General features: G+C 39.4%; 1 protein-coding gene across 5 annotated transcripts in view; it reads right to left on the reverse strand.

Moving 5' to 3' along the window:
• NUMB (NUMB endocytic adaptor protein) overlaps positions 1 to 24,659 on the reverse strand; it is a 183,331-nt gene that overhangs the window by 21,099 nt on the left and 137,573 nt on the right. For 3 of the 5 annotated variants that reach the window (NM_001005744.2, NM_001005743.2, NM_001320114.2), the window contains exons 6-7: positions 20,076 to 20,108; positions 897 to 971 (exon numbers count right to left, since the gene is read on the reverse strand). In NM_001005744.2, coding sequence (NP_001005744.1) covers positions 897 to 971; positions 20,076 to 20,108 — 108 coding nt within the window. The remainder of the gene's footprint in view (positions 1 to 896; positions 972 to 20,075; positions 20,109 to 24,659) is intronic. The other 2 variants (NM_001005745.2, NM_003744.6) reach the window with 1 other exon arrangement.

A 24,659-nucleotide genomic window follows, 5' to 3' on the forward strand; every position in this document is an offset into this window, starting at 1 on the left:
TGTTTGTAATCAGCTACTTGGGAGGTTAAGGCAGGAGAATCGTTTGAACCCAGGAGGTGGAGGTTGCAGTGAGCTGGGATCGTGCCACTGCACTCCAGCCTGGGCAACAAGAGTGAAACTCCATCTCAAAAAAAAAAAAAAAAGAACTCAGATCTTAACACTAAATGCTAATGCTTAGTACCTTAGACATGCTATGTCATGTAGAACAATATGTTGAGAGAATACTATTTCTCATAAAGTAAATGAGTAACTAAAGTGGTTTCCTGAACGTTAAATAGTCTCTCAGGAGATTGTACTTTGGACTAAGTGGAAGGATAAAGCTTCAACAATATAATACCCTTCAACAGCTTAAGGGTATTATATTTGATCATTAGAGATTTTAAAAAACATATGAGCAGTCCCATTTAAGCTTATAAGAATCTTACCTTAGGCCAGGCGTGGTGGCTCACTCCTGTAATCCCAGCACTTTAGGAGGCTGCCGGTGGATCACCTGAGGTCAGGAGTTCGAGATCAGCCTGGCCAACATGGTGAAACCCCGTATCTACTAATAATACAAAAATTAGCCAGGCGAGGCCGGGCGCAGTGGCTCACACCTGTAATCCCAGCACTTTGGGAGGCCGAGGTGGGCGGATCACCTGAGGTCAGGAGTTCGAGACCAGCCTGACCAACATGGAGAAACCCCATTTCTACTAAAAATACAAAATTAGCTGGGCATGGTGGCACATGCCTGTAATCCCAGCTACTAGGGAGGCTGAGGCAGGAGAATCGCTTGAACCTGGGAGGTGGAGGTTGCGGTGGGCCGAGATCGTGCCATTGCACTCCAGCCTGGGTGACAAGAGTGAAACTCCATCTCCAAAAAAAATAAAATAAATCAAAATAAAAATAAAGAATCTTACCTTAGTTTTTTCATCCACAACTCTGAGTCCATCTGCTGAGACCCACAGAACTGCTTTAACTGCTTTCTTTCCAGTCTTTTAAGAGAAACCAAAAAGGGGAGGGGGAGATACACATATATAATATTAAAAAAATGTCATCTTCCACAGAAAACACTGACTCTGCCTTCCAAAAGTCACAAGTACAGATGGAGTCCAAGTTCAGGAGTGGTGCCCAAACCCAGATACTCAAACCAAACTGCAGAAACATTCAGGAAAAAACAAGCCAAAGCCATTATTTTAGAAACACAACGCAAAACAATAAGATAAAATTAAGTAAAAGGGAAGTAACAGATGGAATAAAAACCAAGATATCACATTCCATAAAGGGCAAAGAATTCATAACTAGATTCTTCACCCATTTAAAAAAATCAACCAAGAAAACCAGAGTCAGATAATTATTAAATACATAAGGAGTTACACCACAAGTAGCGTCCACAAGTGTATTTAGAGCAGGAAGTAACATGTCTAAATTGAGATGTTGACCATTCTACTATCCTATGACCCCCAGTATGTTATAGCAGGACCCTTGGTCACCTAAAATTTTCACGTTAAAAACACAGTAAGTCTTCATTATTCTATTAACAGTCTTTAAAAAGCCATTATTTGTTCTCTCAGAGTTAACACAGACATTTTTCCTAATAATTTTTTTTTTTTCTTGAGACAGAGTCTCACTCTGTCGCCCAGGCTGGAGAGCAGTGATGCGATATTGGCTCACTGCAACCTCCCCATCCCGGGTTTAAGTGATTCTCCTGCCTCAGCCTCCCGACTAGCTGGGATTACAGGCACCTGCCACCATGCCCGGCTAATTTTTGTATTTCTAGTAGAGACGGAGTTTCACCATGTTGGCCAGGCTGGTCTGGAACTCCTGACCTCAAGTGATCCGCCTGCCTCAGCCTCCCAAAGTGCTGGGATTACAGGTGTGAGCCACTGTGCCCAGCCTCTAATAATTTTAGAGACGAGGTCTCACTGTGTTGCCCAGGCTGGAGTGCAGTGGCTATTCACAGGTATGATCATAAAGCATTACAGCCTTGAACTCCTGGGCTCAAGTGATCCCCTTGTCCCAGCCCCACGTGTAGCCAGGACTACAAGTGTGCACCACTGTACCCAGCCTTGGCTTGGTTTTTAATTTGACATTAAATTCATGGAGACATTTTGGGGACACAGGAAGATTTAAAAACTACTGAAAAAATAATTTTCTTTTTATTGGCTCAGAAAATACTTTTTGGCACATGAGAATCACATGAGAACAAGCTGATGCATAATTCCTCCTGTGATGGAATGTAATAGTAATTTAACAGTGTCCTTTCTTTTTAACTGCCTCAAGGATACAGCAAAATAAAACAAAAGCAATATGAAGGCTGAGAATAGGTATCAGATTATCATAAAAAGTATAGATCAAAAGGAATCTGGTGCTAAGGTTGGCGCAGCAGCCTCTAGAAGCGACAAGGGAGACTTTTAGAACTACCATTCTCCTCTATAAGTGATCCAAGCCCAGGAAAACTTGATATGAGGACATGGCCTTACTGAAATAACCTGTGATCCACTCGGCCTCATCATCTCCACCACCACCATAAATTTGATGAGTGCCTATAATATGCCAGCCAGTGGAAATACCTGGAAGGTTACTGAAAGGCAACAATCAGACAAAAAATAAAGAATACCGTAGGTAAATGCTACAGTAGAGCTGAGAACAAGGTACAATGATGTCAGAAAAAAGGTATAATCAAATCTCTTTGTGGAATTGGGGAAGGTTATACAAAGGAGAAGACTGAACTGGGTGCTGGAATAATTTTTCTTGATGCTTAGGTAGGGGTAGGGAGACAGGGAAGTAACAGAGGTACTGGACATGCCAGGCAGAAGAAACAGCAGTACAGGACATGGAAGCAAACAACATGGCAAGTCTGGGGCTCTATAAATATTTCAGTATGGCTTGGTAAGTAGACTTGGCAATGGGAAAGGCGTAATGGGAGATAGAGTAGGAAAGGCCTAATCACAGAAGGCCTTCTATTCCTGATAAGGACTTTGATCTTGATTCTATGGGCAAATTAGAAGCTACTCTGTAAATATTATTACAATGAATTGAATTTAGGTTAAGGAGATTAGCCTTGGTAGTATGGGTATGCTTCATCCAATCAGTTGAAGGCCTCAAGAGCAAAAACTGAGGTTTCCTGGAGAAGAAACCCTGCCTGAGTTTCCAGCCCGTTGGCCTGCTTTACAGGTATCAGACTTGCCAGCCTGCCAGCCCCTACAATCACGAGTGAATTCTTAAAATAGATAATATGTATATATATGTCATATATGTATCATATATGTCATATATATGACATGACATATGTCATGTCATATATATGATATGACATATATATGTCATATAATATGACATATCTCCTAGCGGTTCTGTTTCTTTGGAGGATCGTGATACAGAAGTAGAAGTTAGACTAGAATGGGTCGAGAAGTAAATGAAAGGCAAGAAGAGTCTACAAGTATTAAATACTTTTTTTTACAAAGCTTTTCTATAAAAAGGAGAGCTGCAGGGCAATAAGACACAGGCAGAGCATCAAGGGAAGTCTGTAAGAATTGTGATAAACTAGCATGTTATACTTGAAATAGAATGGGCTTTGGATTAAGACAAATATGAGACTGAATTCAGCGCTACTATTCATAAGCTAAGAAAGTTATGTAGCCCACTGAGCTTCCATCTCTTCATCCGTAAAATATTTGTAGTTTGTTAAAAGGATTAGATATTATATACAGTACCTGGAATTTAAATAGGGTAACAATTAGTAGCCATTATCATCATTATATTATTAATAAACTTTTAAAAACCTCTCCCAATAGTAAAGCAGAATTCTTAAAAGAGTGATATACATTTTCAACAATGACATCCTCTTCACGTGCTGAATGGGAAAAGCCAGTGGAACAATGGAAACGGAAGGCCCAAGAAAAAGAGAAGAGTAATTTAGAGAACAAAGTCCAACAAAATGCAGGGTGAGATGGGGCTAGAATACAAGTTTTAGACAGGAGGAGAGATGTCCATTCCTATGAAATGGAGGGATAAAGTGAGGCCGAGTAGAGATGAAGACAGATTTGTAAAGGAGGGAGTAGCAAGTGGAGGAAATTCACTCTGGAGAACCATAAATTCATCTGTGAATTTATGGTTTTAATTTACCTGCTTTACTTTGCTGGGGAGAGGAAAGACGACAGGCAGAGTAAAATATTAAAGATTTAGAACAGTAGTATGGAGGCAGTCTAGTACGGTGACTAGGAACCAAGCTGTTGTTTGGATTTGAATTCTGGTTCTGCAAGTTACTCCTAGTATGATCAAAGGCAGGTTAATTTAACTTCTCTATGCTTCACTTTCTACATCTGTATAATGATGTTAATAATCTCATATACCTCATAGGGTTACTGTGAAGATTAAACGAATTAATGTATACGAAAGGTTTAGAACAAGGACGGTCATATAATTTACTCTACAAACTGGGAACCCTTTGAAAATGAAAGAGATGACTCGTCATTTACATTAGGTATATCTCCTAATGCTATTCCTCCCCCCTCCCCTCACCCCACAACAGGCCTCGGTGTGTGATGTCCCCCTACCTGTGTCCAAGTGTTCTCATTGTTCTAGAACTTAAAGTACAATAAAAAAAAGGAGAGATGACTATTAAAACTGATAAATGGGTGTTATAATAGGGCTGTTCCAGGCAAATTGGTAGAAGAGTCATTCACCAGCAACAGTAACTGCTCATATTTAACCAACCCTCATGTAACATTTAGTATTTTGCTGGAAGGTAAGCTCCATGAGGGCAAGGTTTCTTCCATCTATCATTCACTGCTGTATCCCTGGAACTTGAACAACATCTGGAACAGAGTAGCAGTTCAAGAAATATTTGTTGAAAGAAAAAATACGCTAAATATCTGTTGTAGGAAACAGGAGACAGCTGACCAGTGATATACAACATTGCCAAATGGCACTGACAATCCTAAGATATTTAAATTTGCAGTTTAATCAATCTGCTCATTGTATAATTGTAGCCTGCAGTGTTCAGTATCTGAGGCAACAGATAGGACTACTTCAAGGTTGGAAGACTGAAGAAGGGAAAAATAAAAGGTCAGTTTAGAATGGGACTGTTCTCCAGTTAGTCTCCTTACAATATTCAGGGAAATGTAACATTTTCTTGGCCCAATTATATGCTTGTTTGTTTGGAGACAGGGTCTTGCCTTGTTGCCCAGGCTGCCATACAAGTGGCACAGGACAGCTCACTGCAGCCTTGAACTCCTGGGCTCCAGTAATTCTCCCACTTCAGCCTCCCCAGTAGCTGGGACTACAGGCGTGCACTACCATACCCAGCTAATTTTTAAACAATTTTTTGTAGAGACAGGGTCTTGCCCTGCTGCCTAGGCTGGAGCACAGTGACATAATCATAATTCACTGCAGCCTTGAACTCCTAGGCTCAAGCGATCCTCCTGCTTTGGCTTCCCAAAGTGCTGGGATTACAGGTGTAAATCACCACACACATCCCAATTATATGGTTATAAAAACATGTGTGGCCGGGTGTGGTGGCTCATGTCTGTAATCCCAATACTTTGGGAGGCCAAGGCAGGTGGATCGCTTGAGGCCAGGAGTTCGAAACCAGCCTGGCCAACATGCTGAAACCCCATATCTACTAAAAAATACAAAAAATTAGCCAGGTGTGGGGGCACGTGCCTGTAATTCCAGCTACTCAGGAGGCTGAGGCAGGAGAATTGCTTGAACCTGGGAGGCAGAGGTTGCAGTGAGCTGAGATCACGCCACTGCACTCCTGCCTGGGTGACACAGCGAGACTCCATCTCAAAAATAAAAAAAAATAAAAAAAATTGTGCTTTTTGAGATAGGCCTTAATAATTTTATAGTATTGTACTAATGTATCAGTAAGGAATCATATTTGTCATATTTCATGGCCTCTGATCTCTCTGAAGAGGGGAAGAAAACAGATAATACGAATTCTTGTATTTGTTCATACTTCTGGGTGTGGGTTCTTGTACATCATTATAGTTTGCCACATTATAGTTATTTAAGTCAGGTACTGAAATATTAATGATTAGAGATGCCTATAGCTGAAATTAAGCCCAGCCTTCCTCTCACAAATTCTATAGTTGCAATACTTCCACATTTCTTTTTTTTTTTTTTTTTTTTGAGACGAGTCTTACTCTGTCGCCCAGGCTGGAGTGCAGTGGAGCAATTTAGTCTCACTGCAACCTCTGTCTCCTGGGCTCAAGTGATTCTCATGCCTCAGCTTCCCGAGTAGCTGGGATTATGGGTGCATGGCCCCACACCCAGCTAATTTTTTTGTATTTTTTTTGGTAGAGATGAGGTTTCGCCATGTTGGCCAGGCTGGTCTCGAACTCCTGACCTCAGGTGATCCGCCCACTTTAGCCTCTCAAAGTGCTGGGATTACAGGCATGAGCCACTGCGCCTGGCCAATACTTCCATATTATTTGTAAACTTGAGTCTTTCATTCTGACCATATAAACTAAGATTTCTGAGCACTTTTAAGAAAAGAAGATAAACATGGCTGAGAGAAGACTGTCTGCCCTAAAACTGTCTACTTGAAACCAGTACCCTAGGCCATCAGGCCGCAGTTAACTAATCAAAGGACTGAAAAAAAACTACATTAAATATCAAATGTAGAATTTACATACAGGCCGGGCACAGTGGCTCAAGCCTATAATCCCAGCACTTTGGGAGGAAGCCGAGGAGGGTGGATCACCTGACGTCAGGAGTTCGAGACCAACCTCACGAACATGGCGAAACCCCATCTCTACTAAAAATATAAAAATTAGCCGGGTGTGGTAGCAGGTGCCTGTAATCCCAGCTACTTGGGAGGGTGAGACAGGAGACTCCCTTGAACCCGGGAGGTGGAGGTTGCAGTGAGCTGAGATCGCACCATTGCACTCCAGCCTGGGCAACAGAGTGAGACTCCATCTCAAAAAAGAAAGAAACAAAGAAAAAAAAGAATTTACATACATCTTAGTGGCACAAACACCTCTTTAAAAAGACAACATGCTGGCCAGGCATGGTGGCTCATGCCTGTAATCCCAGCACTTTGGGAGGCCAGGGCCAGTGGATCACCTGAGGTCAGGAGTTTGAGACCATCCTGGCCAACATGGTGAAACCCCGTCTCTACTAAAAACACAAAAATCAGCCGGGCGTGGTGACATGCGCCTGTAGTCCCAGCTGCTCTGGAGGCTGTGGCAGGAGAATTGCTTGGACCCAGGAGGCAGAGGTTGCAGTGAGCCAAGCAAGATCACACTACTGCACTCCAGTCTGGGTGACAGAGCGAGACTCCATCTCAAAAACAAAACAAAACAAAACAAAAAAAAAACATGCTTCAGGAACTAATAAAAATGTGGAAGTGGCAACACAGATGTTCAGACATTCAGAATTATTTTATCATCGCTGCTCTAACACTTTCTACTTTAATAATAATTTCAGTTATAGGTAGAATTCACACTGACAAATGTATCATGAAAAAGTTTCACAATAAAGACAAAAATCCTTTTTTTTTCAAAGAAAACCGATCTAACATGGACAGAACTTTAGTAACTTGGAATTTAAATTGGTGAAATCTGAGCAGAAGGATCAAGCTAACCAAAAGTGAAAAATGAAAGTATAACTTTCTCAAGTAATTACTCTACACTATAAATATCCAGCTTAGTATTTTAAAATTATTATCTTCCTTAAAACCTTTTATTATGGGTAGATATAAACCAATATAGCAACTAAGCAGGTTCTGACACTGAAGAAAATAGCAACATACAGTGGATCTATTACAAATTACTAAATCAGGAAACTTGTACCAGAAGAGAAATGCACAGGTAATCTTAACACGAAAAAAATTGGTGAAGGAACATAAAATGGAAAATGGCACAGAAATAGTAACAAGCTCAGCACACTGTAAGATGACTTTCTCCTAAATATAAAAGCTACGTACAGTAAAAGGCAACTGAAATAACCAATTGCTATCTACCTATCTCCAGGCTTTGTTTCTTTAAGTAGAAACCACTGTTTCTTTCTTTCTTTCTTTCTTTTTTCATTAGAGACAGGGTCTTATTCTGACACCCAGGCTGGAGCACAGTGGTGTGATCACAGCTCACTGCAGCCTCAAACTCCTGGGCTCAAGTCATCTACCCACCTCAGCCTCCTGAGTAGCTGGGAGACCACAAGTAAGTACCACCACACCTGGCTACTTTTTTATTTTTATAGAGATGGTCTTGCTATGTTGCCCAGGCTGGTCTCAAGTTCTGGCTTCAAGTGATCCTCCCACCTCAGCCTCCCAAAGTATTAGGATTACAGATGTGAGCCACTATGCCCAGCTGAAACCACTTTTTAAAAATAAATTGAAAAAGGATGAAAATGACAAGTTGGTGATATACATGGTAGGTGGAAAGATTCTTACACTGCTCTTTTATTTCATCAGTATAATTAATGTTATCCTTAGGAGAAATGAGTTGGAGTTGGAGGAATGAGTTTTGTTTTGTTTTTTTTGAGGCAGAGTCTTGCTCTGTCGCCCATGCTTGGAGTGCGGTGGTGCGATCTCGGCTCATTGCAACCTCCACCTCCTGCGTTCAAGCGATTCTCCTGCCTCAGCCTCTCAAATGGCTGGGATTACAGGTGCCTGCCACCACGCCCAGCTATGGCTAATTTTTGTATTTTTAATAGAGAAGGGGTTTCACCATGTTGGCCAGGCTGGTCTTGAACTGCTGACCTCAGGTGATCCGCCCACCTCAGCCTCCCAAAATGCTGGGATTACAGGTGTGAGCTACCGCGCCTGGCCGAAATGAGTTTTTAAATTGTTGAAATTAGGGATTAGCAACCGTTTTTTGTGAAGGACCAGACAACAAAATATTTTAGGCTTTTCAGGACATATGATCTCTATTGCAACTACTCAACTCTATCATTGCACAAAAGCAGCCATAACAATATGTACACAAATGGGCATGACTGTGTTCCAATAACATGTTATTTACAAAAACAAATACAGTAGTGGGCCATAGTTTGCGACATCTGATACAATCACAATCTCTATAATTAATTGAATCTTCTTGGAAAGATAATTCATTATACTGAAATATTAGACCTGTTGGAACTGTGTCCCCGAATTCATTTTCTTTTTTTTTTCTGACAAATGTATTTATATCCTACCTATTTTAAGGTGCCATCCAACTCTAAAATTCTATGATCCCCAAGATCACCAGTGAGATAAGAGCATGCCATTAATTAACAAAAATAAAAATGACATTTGGAGGCAAGACAGCTCTGCGGGCATACGCTAGGTAAGAGCAAAAGGGTTAAGCAGATGTTCTAATGTAAGCTGAAGTGAAGAAATGCTATAAAGACACATGGAAACATCATTTTGCATAGCTTTGAAATATTAAGAAGCAACAGCAGCAAACAGACCAATTAGGGCAGAGCAAGTCACTCTCAGAACAACAGTGATTTGCAATTCTACTGTGCAAAGTTCCTTCAGCTACAAACCAAAGAGGTCTTCAAAGGTTCCCAATGTGTAAAGAATCACTGGTCAGTCTTTCCGTCACATCTACACAGAGGCAGGCATTACAGAGTAATGGTGATATATAAACCAGGGAACCATGATACAGTGTGCCTTGTAATAAACAAACGAGACTTTTTTCAGAGGAAACCCAGCTTCATTGCTTTTTAAATCAGAAAAGAAAAGCCTTGAAGTCTATAATTTAATATTTGAATTTCTGAACAGAATGGTGTAATCAATAAATTTTGTCTTATAATTCCAAAATCCAGTGAATATACCCCAAAGAACAAAGCAGTGAAAGGACAGAAACACAACTTTCTTCAGGATTTGAGATTGTACTGTGCTCAGGAAGAGTACAATAACTTTTAGTCTCAGACACTAAGGTTCATTATTCCTGTACTTTCTTAAATGAGAGGGGCACTTAAAGGCTTTTAGGAAAACACAAGGATGGAGCATGTCATGAACTACACAGTAAAGGAGAGATTTTGGGGAGGCAATTTAGCTCTTCTAGTTTGCCAAATCACTTCAATTGGGGGAGGGGAGACCTAGGGATTATTCCAATATTAAGTTCATATTTCAAAGGTATATAGTAGCTGAAATGAAAATTCTAGAGGCATCTCAAATTCAACCTGTCCAAAACCAAATTTATCCCTTCTCACAATGAGTGATTCCACCAACCCCTTGGTCATCCATGAACGAAATCTGGGTCTCATCTTCTGTTTCCTTCTCAACACCCCTAGGTTGAATGAATGAATGAATGAATGAGTGTGGAACATGTTTTCTCTCATCCCAATGTCCCTGATAGTGCTGTTCCTTCTGTCTGAAATCTCTTTCTCTTCTAAGTTAGTTTAACTGGAATTCATAGTTTTTAGGCTCAGCCCTAGGTGTCATCTCCTCCTAGAAGCCTTCATTACAACCTTTCACATTCACTCTTCCTTTTTGCTCCTGGAGCACCTGTTACTGTCACACAATTTGGTAACCATGTCTTTACCTATCTGATTCCTCCCACAACAGGGTGAACTTGAGCAGTACATTTCTCATTCATTCCTTTACGCATTAATTCAAATATTTTGGAGCAGCTACTATGGACCACAAATTATTCTAGGTACTGAAGATTCAGCAGTAAACAAAACAGGTGGAGATCACTGTCCTCACAGAGCTTACATTTCAGTGAGGAAGAGATAAGCAAGTAAAATGTATGGTATGACACACAGTGATAAACCCTATCAGATAAAAATAAAGCTAGGGGTCAGGCGTGGTGGCTCACCCCTATAATCCCAGCACTTTGGGAGGCCAAGGCGGGTGGATCACGAGGTCAGGTGATTGAGACCACCCTGGCTAACACAGTGAAACCCTGTCTCTACTGAAAATACAAAAAATTAGCTGGGTGTGGTGGCGGGCACCTGTAGTCCCAGCTACTCGGGAGGCTGAGGCCAGAGAATGGCATGAACCCGGGAGGCGGAGCTTGCAGTGAGCCGAGATTGCGCCACTGCACTCCAGCCTGGGCAACAGAGTGAGACTCTGTCTTTAAAAAAAAAAAAAAAAATAGCTAGGAATTGGGAGTGTGTGTGTGTCTGGGGGAGAGTGGTGTTTGGATTTTTTAAGAAGTTGTCAGTAAATGCCTGAGAATGGGGCTTTTGAGTGAAGGGAAAGAGATGAGGAAGTGAGCCACACATATATCTGGATGATGTGCGTTCCAGACTAGAGGTTACAGCAAGTACAAAGGCCCTGAGGTGAAAGCGTGCCTGGTTTGTTTAAGGAATACTGAGGAGGCTAGTGTGGCTGGAACAGAGGGAGCAAGAGGAAGGCTAGGAGGAGATAAAAGAGGAAAAAGAGGGGATTCATATGCAATGGCCTACAAGGCCTAAAAGACTGGCTTTTACTCTGAGTAGGTCAGGAAGCTACTGGAGGACATGGGACAGTGAAGCAACATAATCGGGCCTCTGTCTTTTTTTTTTTTTTTTTTTTTTGAGACGGAGTCTTGCTCTGTTGCCCAGGCTGGAGCACAGTGGCACGATCTTGGCTCACTGCAAGCTCCGCCTCCCGGGTTCACGCCATTCTCCTGCCTCAGCCTCCCGAGTAGCTGGGACTATAGGCGCCCGCCACCACGCCCGGCTAATTTTTTTGCATTTTTAGTAGAGACGGGGTTTCACCGTGTTAGCCAGGATAGTCTCCATCTCCTGACCTCGTGATCCGCCCGCCTCGTCCTCCCAACGTGCTGGGATTACAGGCGTGAGCCACCGCGCCCGGCCGGGCCTCTGTCTTAAAAAGATCACTCGGGTTGATCTCTCAAGAGGGGATGGCAGGAGGACAATAATGAAAGCAGGGGTAGTAGGATGCTAGTAGGATGCTACTGCAATGGTTCAGATAAGAGGAGATGCTGGCTTGGACCAGGGTAGGAGTGGTGGAGATAGTGAGAATTGATTAGGTTCTTGAAGGCTGAAGCAGACAGGAACTGTTGATGGAGTGGATGTAGGGTATAAGAAAAAGAGAAGTCAAGGTCAAATCCAGGGTTTGGCTAGAGCATAGGGACAGAGATGCTGTATATTGAGACTGGGAAAGACTAGGAGAGAAAGATCCTTCTCTCCTTGGGGGAATTTGATTTGTGACATATTAAAGTGTGAGGTGACTAGCAGATATCGAAGAGAAAAAGTTTAATAATGATGATATTGACACCTATCTACCAAAACAGGCCATTTGGTGCTCTTCACTCATATTTATTCATCTAATCTTCACAACAATCACATGAAGTAGGCATTAATCGCAAAGCTAGTAAATGCAAGTAATCTGGCCCCAAAGGCTGGGACCTTGATTCCTATGCTATATTGCTTGTAAGACGGAAATACCATTATGGAGTTCAGGGGAGATGTATGGAGATATAAATTTCAAAACCATCAGCATATATTACATAAATGATATTTAAAGCCATCACACTGTGGATGAGATCATTAACAGGTGTAGGCTGAGAAGAGTCCACAGACGAAGGGGAGAACTGGGAAAGTATGATCCCTGAACTCCAAATGAATAGTGTTTCAAAGGGGAGTGAGAGATGGGCTATGTGAATTGCTGCTGATAGTCTGAGTAAGGCGATAGGACTACTGGAATAGTAATACAAAAGAAGATAAGGGCAGCCGTGGTGGGGTGGCAGAGGTAAAAGTTGTGGAGATGATTAAATGGGTTCAACAGAAGAAGGAACTGAGGGTACCAAGAAGAAACCTTTTTTTAAAAAGAAGATGGTATATTTTTATGCTAATGGATGATCCACTAGAGAAAGAAAACTGATTATAGAGGGGAGAGGGGGTAGCATTGCCAGAATAAGTAAGAGTTGGAATAAGAAGAATCTGGTGGAGGAGTTGGCCTCTGTGAGGAACACAGATAGTTCATCCCTTGAATGGGAGGGAAACAATATATGAGCACAGATGCACTTTTAAAGAATAGGATCCAATACCCAAAAGAATATAAATCATTCTACTATAAAGACACTTGCACATGTATGTTTACTGCAGCACTATTCACAATAGCAAAGACTTGGAACCAACCCAAATGCCCATCAATGACAGACTGGATAAAGAAAATGTGGCACATATACAGTATGGAATACTATGCAGCCGTAAAAAAGAATGAGTTCATGTCCTTTGTAGGGACATGGATGAAGCTGGAAACCATCATTCTCAGCAAACTAACACAGGAACAGAAAACCAAATACCACCTGTTCTCACTCATAATTGGGAGTTGAACAATGAGAACACATGGACACAGGGAGGGGAACACCACACACTGGGGCCTGTCAGAGAGTTGGGGGCAAGGGGACAAATACCTAACACATGCGGGGTTTAAAACCTAGATGACAGGTTGATGGGTGCAGCAAACCACCATGGCACATGTATAACTATGTAACAAACCTGCATGTTCTGCACATATATCCCAGAACTTAAGGTATAATAATAATAATAATAATAATAATAATAATAATAATAAAAATAGGATCCAGAATGAAGATAAGCACTAAGTACAAGTTGTCATAGAGGAGAAAATTTAGGAAATATAAAATAGAATGTAGATTTGAATATACTAATTCAAGAGTGGAGTCATAAATGCCATGAAATCCTTTACTCTCAGGAATTAGGTTAAAACAACATAACAACATATTACTTTTCAACCATGCATTCTCTAAAACTTAACCATTTCTAATGGTGCCATTTAGCAATTGTAAAAACATAAAAACTTGAAAAACTATATTTGGCAGTATATTAACAGGATCTGTTAGAACAGATATTATAATATTTTTGGTGATTTTTATACAGTCAGAAGTGGTTGCTACAAAGAAAAATAAATCAAAGTGACATAACCCAGAGAGGAGTTCACAAACTCAAATGCCTACAAGAATTAAAGGCACATAACAAATGAGTGAAGCAGGGACAACAGGGAGTTGCAGGGATTGTGGCGAATAGGCAAAGGGCATAGCTGCTACTCAGGTCAGGAAACTGTTGCCACACAGAAAGCATATTGTTTTGCCAGGTCTGCTAATTCTTAAGATAAATGTCCTACTGAAAAGTAGGATATTTATTGAAAGTTCTCAATGTTTAAAATATTTGCAACTAATTCAAATTTATAAACTGTGTGCAGGCCATACAATCCATGTTTGTGGAAGTATTCAGGCCATTGGGCTGTCTAGCGTCCTCTGCATTAGACACTTCTCCATTCATTATAATTAAGGCATACCCGAGGAAAGCAGAGGAATGCTTTTTGAATGACAGAACATCAACATGGGGTAGATGAAAGAACTTTGCACTAAGTTTCAGAAAACCTTGCTTTCAGTGTAGGCACTGCCATTTAGTATTAGCTGGGTGAACTCTCTGAGCTTCTGTTTATTCATTTGTAAAATGCAGTTTCATGAACTACCCTGTCCAATTCACTGAACTGTTATGAATGGCAAATTAGAAAGTAGGTCAAAGCACATAATAAACTATAAAGCTCTATATAAATACAAGTAAATGGCTTTAAAAAGAGATCTAATAGGGTGGCCTAAGAATATTTCCTGTCTCTATGTTGAGTCAGTTTCTTCATAAAATGGGAATACAGATTACTTAGTTCATAGGGTTCCTCAAATACATTAAAATTATAAAAACATTTTTTCAAATGTTAAGTGCCATGTAATTATTTGGTAATAAAGTATTTGCCTAGTATAGCCAACTATGAATGAAGCTGCATGTAATAATCCCTAAAAAGCTGAGTGCATTATTGGCTTTCCTAAGGCAATGAGCTATTTATTTATTTATTTATTTATTTTTGACATAGTCTCACTCTGTCACCCAGGCTGAAGTGCAGTGTCATGATCTGGGCTCACTGCAACCTCTGCCTACCCCCGGTGTTCAAGCGATTCTCTTGCCTCAGCCTCCTGAGTAGCTGGGATTACAGGCGCCTGCCATCACGCCTGGCTAATTTTTGTATTTTTAGTAGAGACGGGGTTTCACCATCCTGGCCAGACTCGTCTTGAACTCCTGACCTCGTGATCCACCTGCCTCAGCCTCCCAAAGTGCTGGGATTACAGGCATGAGCCACCGTGCCCGGCCACGGCAATGAGCAATTTAATTAGTTTGGAAAAAGTTATTTCAGGTCTTCGTTTTTTTGCCCCTCTTTTACAATGTTTGTAAGCTTACAATGGATTACAGGCCTGTAACAGACCCAGGTTTATCTGTTCCCTACTGCTAAAGTTTCTGGAGACACTGCTCCTGTCAGCTGGTGATGCAACAATAGGGAAGTGATGGTGGTCAGGTCCAAGAGGCAACTTCCGGAAAAGAAGGTTTTCCTGGCTATGAGTCATAAATTCAGAATCGGGGCAAACAATTCTTCTATCTACTTACTTTCACGTAAAAGTGTTTAATAAAAACACTTCTTGATTACTGTTGTTCTATTTATCCTGGATCATCAAATCATACATGATTCAAAGAATAACAAAGTATCAAAATTTATGAGGAACTGTACTGGATAAAAACTCCGTAACATATACTGTTCTGTAAGATGCTTCATTTTGAGGTTTCATCAAACCACAATTGACCTAGCAAACTCAATAAATCAAGTCTCTCTCACCAGTCTATTTCTCGTAGATTAGGGTGGAGATGAATTAAGTGATGGCAACTTGAAAGATTCAAAAGATTCCAAATTAAAGAAAAAATTATCATTTAAAAGCACATTCTGGGTAAGATCATGGGTAATACTTGCCCCTCTCTGTTTTCCAAACTCTTTAAATGACTCACTGTAAAAAATTATATATTAGTATAAAATCACCATGACATAAAAAAAAATTTTCCCCAATAACATAAGAAAAGAATTCTGGGTGCTGTGGCTCATGCCTGTAATCCCAGCACCTTGGGAGGCCAAGGCAGGCTGATCACTTGAGGTCAGGAATTCGAGACCAGCCTGGCCAACATGGTGAAACCCTGTCTCTACTAAAAATACAAAAATTATCCGGGTATGGTGGCAAACGCCTGTGGTCCCAGCTACTTGGGAGGCTGAAGCAAAAAATCACCTGAACCCAGAAAGCAGAGGTTGCAGTGACCGAGACTGCACCAGCCTGGGTGATGAAGGGGGACTCTGTCTCAACAACAACAACAACAAAAAGTAGGCATACAACACATAAGCCATCGAGCACGCTGGGCACAGTTGCTCATGCTTGTAATCCCAGCACTTTGGCAGGGTGAGGTGGGCAGATCACTTGACCTCAGGTGTTTGAGACCAGCCTGGGCAACATGGTGAAACCCTGTCTCTACAAAAAACACAAAAATTAGCTGAGTGTGGTGGCACATGCCAATAGTCCCAGCTACTCGAGAGGCTGTGTTGGGAGGATCCCCTGAGCCTGGGAGTTTGAGGCTGCAGTGAGCCATCATTGTGCCACTGCACTCCAGCTTGGGTGACAGAGTGAGACCCTGTCTCAAAAAAAAAAAAAAAAAAGCCATCTAGCAGAATGCCACTTCATCCCTAGAAGACCCACTTCCTGGCCCCTCAACTGCTTCTGATATTTCTTTTTACGTTAAAAAAAAATACAGTGTAAGTTATCTTTTAATCAAAACACAGCCTCAGAGGGGAAGACAAAGCCTGTCATTGTTTGTTGTTGCTGTTGTTAAACAGCTGACATATGTATTCTGGTGATGCTACGGTGCTGCTCAGTTACTCTGAACATATTATTTTTTCACTCTACTAGTGGTATGTCTTTTTTTTTTTTTTGAGACAGAGTCTTGCTCTATAGTCCAGGCTGGAGTGCAGTGGTGTGATCTAGGCTCACTGCAACCTCCACCTCCCGGGTTCAAGCAATTCTCCTGCCTCAGCCTCCTGAGTAGCTGGGACTACAGGTGTGTGCCACCATGCCCAGCTAATTTTTTTTGTATTTTCAGTAGAGAAGGGATTTCACCCTGTTGGTCAGGCTGGTCTTGAACTCCTGACCTCAAGCAATCCACCCGCCCTTGGCCTCCCAAAGTGCTGGCTGGAGCCACCGCGCCCAGCCATTATGTCTTTTTTTTTTTGAAAGCGAAATACTTATGTGTGAATAAATGTAAGAAAATGATTGCTTATCAGTAGCATATAAATTCAAAGTAGGGAATGATGGTAATGTCAAACAACCACAGACTCCACATGGGTGGCTGAGATAGTGATACTTTTGCTTTCTGATGGTTCAATGTACATGAACTTTGTTTCATGCACAAAATTATTTAATTATACAATAATTATAAAATTATATAAAATTATTACTAAAATTATTTAAAGTATTGTATAAAATTATCTTCAGGCTATATGTATAAGGCATATATAAAACACAAATAACTTCTGCATTTAGGCTTGGGTCTTATCCCCAAAATATCTCATTATATATATGCAAATATTCCAAAATCTGAAAAAAAAAAAAAAAAATCCAAAATCCATAACCCTTCAGGTCCTAAACATTTCAAATAAGGGATGCTCAACATGCAGTAGGACTTAAATATTTCCAAATAAATAAAATGTTAGTTTGAACCACTAAAAAAGATGATTTTTTTTTTCTTTTTTTTTTTGAGATGGAATCTCTCTCTGTCACCGAGGCTGGAGTGCAATGGCATTATCTTGGCTCATTGCAACCTCTGCCTCCCAGGTTCAAGCAATTCTCCTGCCTCAGCCTCCTGAGTAGTAGCTGGGATTACAGGCACATGCCGAGGCGGGCAGATCACCTGAGGTCAGGAGTTCAAGACCAGCCTGGCCAACCAACATGGTGAAACCCCGTCTCTACTAAAAAAGACGATTATTTAAAGCTTTAACTAATAAAAAGTAATTGATTAGAAATAAAATCTAAAGTTAAATTACTACTCTATAAAAAAGAAAGTAAAAGTGAGTTTCTAAGAAGCTCTTTACTTACTAGCACCTTTTGAGATAAAATCTTCACTTATAAATAATATGAAAATAAAGTGATTATACAGCACAATGATTAAGAGTGTGGGCTCTGAAGTCAGATTATTTGGGTTCAAATCCCATTTTTTACCACTTATTATAAATATCTGTGAATTCAGTCAGGTCATTTAACCTCTGCAAACCTCTGTTTTCTCACTGTAAAACTGGAGAATTATTATTTTTGGGTTAAGGATTAAGTGAGATGATTCATAATTCTCTTTCTTATACCATACAAATTCATCATGTAGCAAAAAAAAATGCAGTGAAAAAGCTACCCAACACAGTGTGATCCAGCTCAGCTACAGTGTAGGTGCATCATGGCCCCATTATACGTAGCAATAAATACTGTGACCTCAGGATTGATTTTGAGGGAAGAGCTTTGTTCCTTAACCCACTCCAGGCTCCTGAGTAGCGTGCACCACCACATCCAGCTAAAATATATACTTTTACAATTGTCTTTCTAAAAACCAAATCAATATTTGCTATAACCTGACCTTCATCTTATCTATGACGCCTTATCTTATATAGCTTATCGTATATAGCCTTATCTGCTGCTTGAAGTAGACTTATTAAAACTAGTCACTTGAACAATAGTTAAAATTGTATGATAATTGTGGCGATGTGTAATTGCTTTCGGAAACTCTGTTTAGGAAAAAACAAATACACCACAAAAAGTTTCCTAAAGTGTCCTTAACAATTATCAATTTCCTTAACAAATATAATCCCTACTTATAATGCTGTGCTACACAGGAAATAATAAGATTCTTTCTAGATATGTATCCCATATTCTAAGGACCTATTAATCTGACTCAGACCCAAAATGTCTATTAAAAAATGTATTGTGACATGTGTGGGTAAATTATTTGACTTTTTATTTCAGATTGAGAGGAGTAACTGAATTAAATCATTAGATCAAAATACTTCAAATTTGTTTACACTAGTATTAAGGTGACAAGTTAGAACAAGAAAATGCAAAAATGAGTTCCATTTAAACATTTAATTGAGAAGGAAATGTAAATTATTTGTTCTTTAAAACAAAGTTCCAAAATGACAAAACCATGCAGTAGAAAAAAAATTGTAGGATTTTGTTAATCACATAAATTTTTAGTAATTTATACTGTTATCTAATGACAGTATTTTTCTCTCATACTGTCTCAGTCTGAATTAGTTTTAGCACTTACTCAAAACTAAACAAGGATAAACTTGGACACAAAATATATTTAGAAATATATTTACTGATATGTGTACAGCCACCCCATATATTCTTAAATTTAGGGAGATCTGAACACTGAATAATCATTATTTGAAAAGCATCTACATAAACAACATTCCACATATGACAGATATTTGGTAGGCTAATAATTAAGATACTTTTTCTTAGATTAGCAATGCAGGTTAAAAATCATAGCAGGATCCCTAAAGGTAAGTTTATCCATTTTCACTTACTATCCTGAAATTTAATTTAGATTGGAAAAAAAATTGCACTGAATGTAAACTTTGGGGTATATTTATTTTTTACTCAAATATTTCTTCCTATTTCCCTGTGAATATTGGGCATTATGTAAAATCCACTTGTTACAAATATTGCTAATATTTTAATATAAACAGGGTTTACAAGATCAAATGATATTTATTTTAATACCTACTATTGAGGAGATAATCCTCTTTTAACCTACTTGATTCATTTATTGGAATTTCTTTATTTTTTTGAGACAGAGTCTCACTCTGTCACCCAGGCTGGAGTGCAGTGGCGTGATCTCGGCTCACTGCAACCTCCACCTCTTGGGTTCAATCGATTCTCCTGCCTCAGCCTCCCGAGTAGCTGGGATTACAGGTGCACATCACCTGTATTGTATTTTTGGTAGAGACAGGGTTTTACCATGTTGGCCAGGCTGGTCTCGAACTCCTCAGGTGATCCACCAGCCTTGGCCTCCCAAAGTGCTGGGATTACAGACATGAGCCACCGTGTCCAGCCTATTTATTGGAATTTCTTAGAATCATCAGATTTAGTATCAGTAGACCCACTGATAATATCACGGATAGTAACTTCCTAATTCATTAATTTCCATATACAATCAAACCAATTCCTGCATTATAAAGAAACCAAAGCTGTACTAGTTTTAAAAAATATGTCAGTGCTACACTAGGGGTGTAACTCCTTATAAAGCAAGCATGAATGTGGCATCAAACTTACTTTTCCAAAGAAGCCTTTGAAGAACTTCCTTTCCTGGAGGAACAGGGGGACAAGTCGAGTGCTATTATTGTATGGCCTAAATGTCCCAGAGTTTCACACCAATAAGCACATACAGAAATTGGGGAAAGGAAAAAGTGGGAGAAGGGGTGGGAGTGAGTTTCAAAGAGTTATCCACACCAGGAGTGACAGGGAAAAAGGAAGGGTGCATGAAAATGCAGGGAAACACACTGTATAGCCTAAGAATCCATAGAAAGAGTAAGAAGAAATCAGAACCTGTATCCATGCAGAGCAACCAGTTAGTTTAGTAATCGCTATTTACATTTAAAACAGAGATCTTCCAAATTTGGCAGCAGAGAAAACAATAGGGCATACTGGTTTGGTGAGATTTGCATTTTAAATTTTATAATAGTGAATAGAAAATAGAAGACTGGTTCCATATACATTTTTTAAGTTTAAAATTGGCGGTCAACTATGTGAAAGTCACCAATTTTAAAAAAGTCCACATTCAAATGACCACATAATCACATTAAAAATGTAATACGTAAAATTAAATGAGTATGCATCAAAGGTCCTTGTCATACTTTTTTCTTAGTGAGTTCAAGATGTCACTTAGAAACTCCATACCACTTAAGGGGAGCTTGACCATTGGCTTTCCATTTACTTACATTAGTATCAATCTATATGTACAGGTGTGCTGATCAATTTCACAACACACATAAGGAAATAACATGTATGTTTTATTCCAGACACAGAATAAATTATCTATTAAGGTTACAAGGCTAATGTTTATACAAGAGCTGAGAAAACAAGTATCCTAAGAACCAAATGATGTCTGTGGGCCACAACTGAAATTTAAGAAACAGGGTTTTGTTTTCTTTATAAAAGCTATTGCTTATTATTATTTGGTTTTTGTTTGTTTGTTTGTTTGTTGAGTCAGAGTCTCACTCTGTCACTCAGGATGGAGTGCAGTGGCACGATCTCAGGTCACTGCAACCTCTGCCTCCTGGGTTCAAGCAATGCTCATGCCTCGGCCTCCCGAGTAGCTAGGACTACAGGTGTGCGCCACCACATCCAGCTAATTTTTGTATTTTTAGTAGAGACAGGGTTTCACCGTGTTGGCCAGGCTGGTCTCGAACTCCTGACCTCAAGTGATCCACCTGCCTAAGCCTCCTAAAGTGCTGGAATTACAGACATGGGCCACTGCGCCCAACCTAAAAGCTGTTATTTTAAAATAAAGAAACTTGCATTGACATTTATAAGGAAACAATTCTGAAACTATCTGGATAACAGAGGCATAACTATCTATGCTATCAGCACCAATTTTTAAGCACCATTTATGAAAACTGGCCACCAATTAAAATCTGTAGAATTTACACAAATTAGATGGGTTTGAACTCACACAAGCTAGATTTAACTTTACATTTCCTAGCTGTGGTTGAAATATACTTTAAGCCTTTACTTTTTATAATCATAGGTTTTTAATGTTGGATAAATGTCTAGGAAAAGATAATTGCATTGAAATCTGACTCTTTTACACAATTCATAAACTATTCAGTGCTCTCCAACACTGGAAAGTTTGTTTTCCCCTCTAAGCTTTGAAAATCACAAACAGCAAAAAATATTTCCACAAAACATTTTGAACTGCAACTGGAAAAATAATAAAGTAATTGGGTAGTTATCACAGTAAGACTAGATTATTTCTGCTGCCAAGTTTGGTGACCCTAGTTTTGTTAGACTATGAATAACCATAAGCTTTCAAGGATGCGGCCAAAGTTAAGATATTCACCATTCTTGAGGGATGGGAAGGTGAAGGAAGGAGATTGTTAATATTTAATTTAGCTCCTAGAAAAGCTACTGTTAAACATTGAGCTTTCCCTCTTTTTATAAAATACCCAAGATGTTAATGAAAAAAGTTGGCATGCAAAATGCATAAAAAGACAGTTATTAAAGAATAATAATGTTCTTTTAAAAACATTTGTTATGATTCTTTTACCTGCTAAAACAAGAACATATATTAAAACAAATATATCAAATAGTGAATAAAAAACCAACATATTAGAAACTGGTAGTATAATGAAACTAGTCTAAAACTAAGACAGAGGGAGAGACATTTAAGAAACAATGGGAAGAAATGACCTTAAACGAAGGGCATCTTGGACTAGAGTTAAGCAAGATAACCAAAGGCCTTATACACTTTTTTATGGAATTGGCTGATATATGACAATATTCCTCACCCTGTAGCTGATATGCCATAAAGGCAGTAACAATGGGCAATAGTGATTTCTGTCATTTATCCTATAGAAGCTAAGTCCCAAAGTAGCTAATCAGTGAGGTTATATGACAAAGTAAATGAGTTGAAAATAGCTGTCAATAACTTTATGCCCAGAAAGTTAAAAAATTAACATATTTATGCTCTGAGGAGCATATTTTTAAAACACTATCTTGTTTAGTTATAATATTTTTTTCATTTGAGCATATCAAGTATGCAGATGACTTCCAATTGAAGTTAATGTAATTCTAAATTGTAAGAGAGTATTTTGGTGAAAAACACTTGCAAATTATCTCTTTCCTCAATTGTTCACAAATTTAAAAAGCGCTAGAAGGCTGGGCGCAGTGGCTCATGCCTGTAATCCCAGCACTTTGGGAGGCCCAGGCTGGTGGATCACCTAAGGTCAGGAGTTGGAGATCAGCCTGGCCAACATGGTGAAACCCCGTCTCATACAATTAGCTGAGTGTGGTGGTGGGCGCCTGTAATCCCAGCTACTCTGGAGGCTGAGGCAGGAGAATCGCGTGAACCCGGGAGGCGGAGGTTGCAGCGACCCAAGATCGTGCCACTGCACTCCAGCCTGGGTGACAGAGCGAAACTCCACTCCAAAAAAAATGAATAAATAAAAAGCACCAGAAATATTACATTTTTAGTTCAAAGATTATTCACTAGATGTGTTGGTGGTACAGTGATGAGCATAGCTGCCTTCCAAAGATCATTCACATGGTAGGTTTAAAATGCTTGTTTTGTTACTTAACTGGTACATCTGAGCTATTCTTTAAAATTTTAAACTCTGGCATTCAAACTAATTTCAAAGATATCCTATTTCTTCTTTAATCCTCTGCAGGCTTATGCATCCTTATATTTGCTCCCACTTATTTGAAACTCTAAAAGGAAGCTTTATAATCTATAAAAAAAACAAACAAAAAGTCTCCAGAAACATAGCATTTGGCACAATATAAGTATCTGGCAAAGTAGGTTGTAGATCCCCAGTGGATGATTTTTAGATGAATGTTTGCTCAGAGAAATCAAAAGGCAACGAGAAATTTCTGCATAGTAAAAATATGAAAAGAAGACAAAAATCAGGAATACATGTGGCACACTATGATATGAGAAGAACAGTATCCTAAAGACTTCCGATTTTCTGCAAGATTCTCAGTATAGCTCTAGAAAGAGTATTTAAAAGAAAGGGGAGGCCAGGTGCAGCAGCTCATGCCTGTAATCCCAGCACTTTGGGAGACTGAGGTGGGTGGATCACGAGGTCATGAATTCAAGACCACCCTGGCCAACACGGTGAAACTCTGTCTCTACTAAAAATACAAAAAAACTAGCCAGGTGTGGTGGCGGGCACCTGTAATCCCAGCTACTCGGGAGGCTGAGGCAGGAGAATTGCTTGAACCTGGGAGGCAGAGGTTGCAGTGAGCCAAGATCACACCACTGCACTCCAACCTGGGTGACAGAGCAAGACTCCGACTCGGCGGGGGGGCAAAAAAAGAATGGGGATGTTTCACTGAGCATAAGAAACAGGAAATTTACTCCAGTGACCCAAAACTTCAATTTCATGTTTTAATAATACATGCCAGTGCAAAACTACATATAACATTTGCTCCAAATCTAGTTTTTGTCTGAAAAATTTTAAATAACTTCTTGATAAGAAGTCTAGAAATGGTCAATTTCCCCTCAAAGTTTAAAAGTTTAAGTATGTTTAGAAAACAATCACCAACATATCTAAAACTTTCTTTTTTATTATTTATTTTTATAGAGACAGGGTCTCACTATGTTACCCAGGCTGGTCTTGAACTCCTGGCTTTAAGCAATCCTCCCATCTCAGACTTCTAAGTAGCTGAGATTATAGGCGCAAGCTACTGTGTTCGGCTTAAAACTTTCTTTTAGTCATTAAAAACCACAGGAAAATAAAGATCTTTAGAAATAAACAAAACAGTTTTGGTAAACTTAAAACATTAGACATAATATTTGATTATGGTTATTGTAAGACTCAATTTGACCACATATTGTAGATCAGATTGTATTCTGTATATTCATTCTAGAAGTATTTTTTGAGTTACTACTATGTGCCAGCCACTGTTCCATGCATAGGTATAATTTTTAAAATGGCTATTTAGTTCCTAATTCTGATGAATATAAAAACATTAAATTTTATTATCTAAATAGTCCTATGCCTCAAGCAATCACGCCTATTATCTTCTTGGTTTAAAAAAAAAAAAGGTAAAATAAAACAAAAAAATCTACTGAAACATTAGTTTTAAAACTAGATAGTTAAATAGTGGCTATCTCTGGGGTTGTAGGAAATTTCATTT

The sequence above is a fragment of the Homo sapiens genome, chromosome 14 (assembly GCF_000001405.40).
Source record: "Homo sapiens chromosome 14, GRCh38.p14 Primary Assembly".
Lineage (NCBI taxonomy): Eukaryota > Metazoa > Chordata > Mammalia > Primates > Hominidae > Homo > Homo sapiens.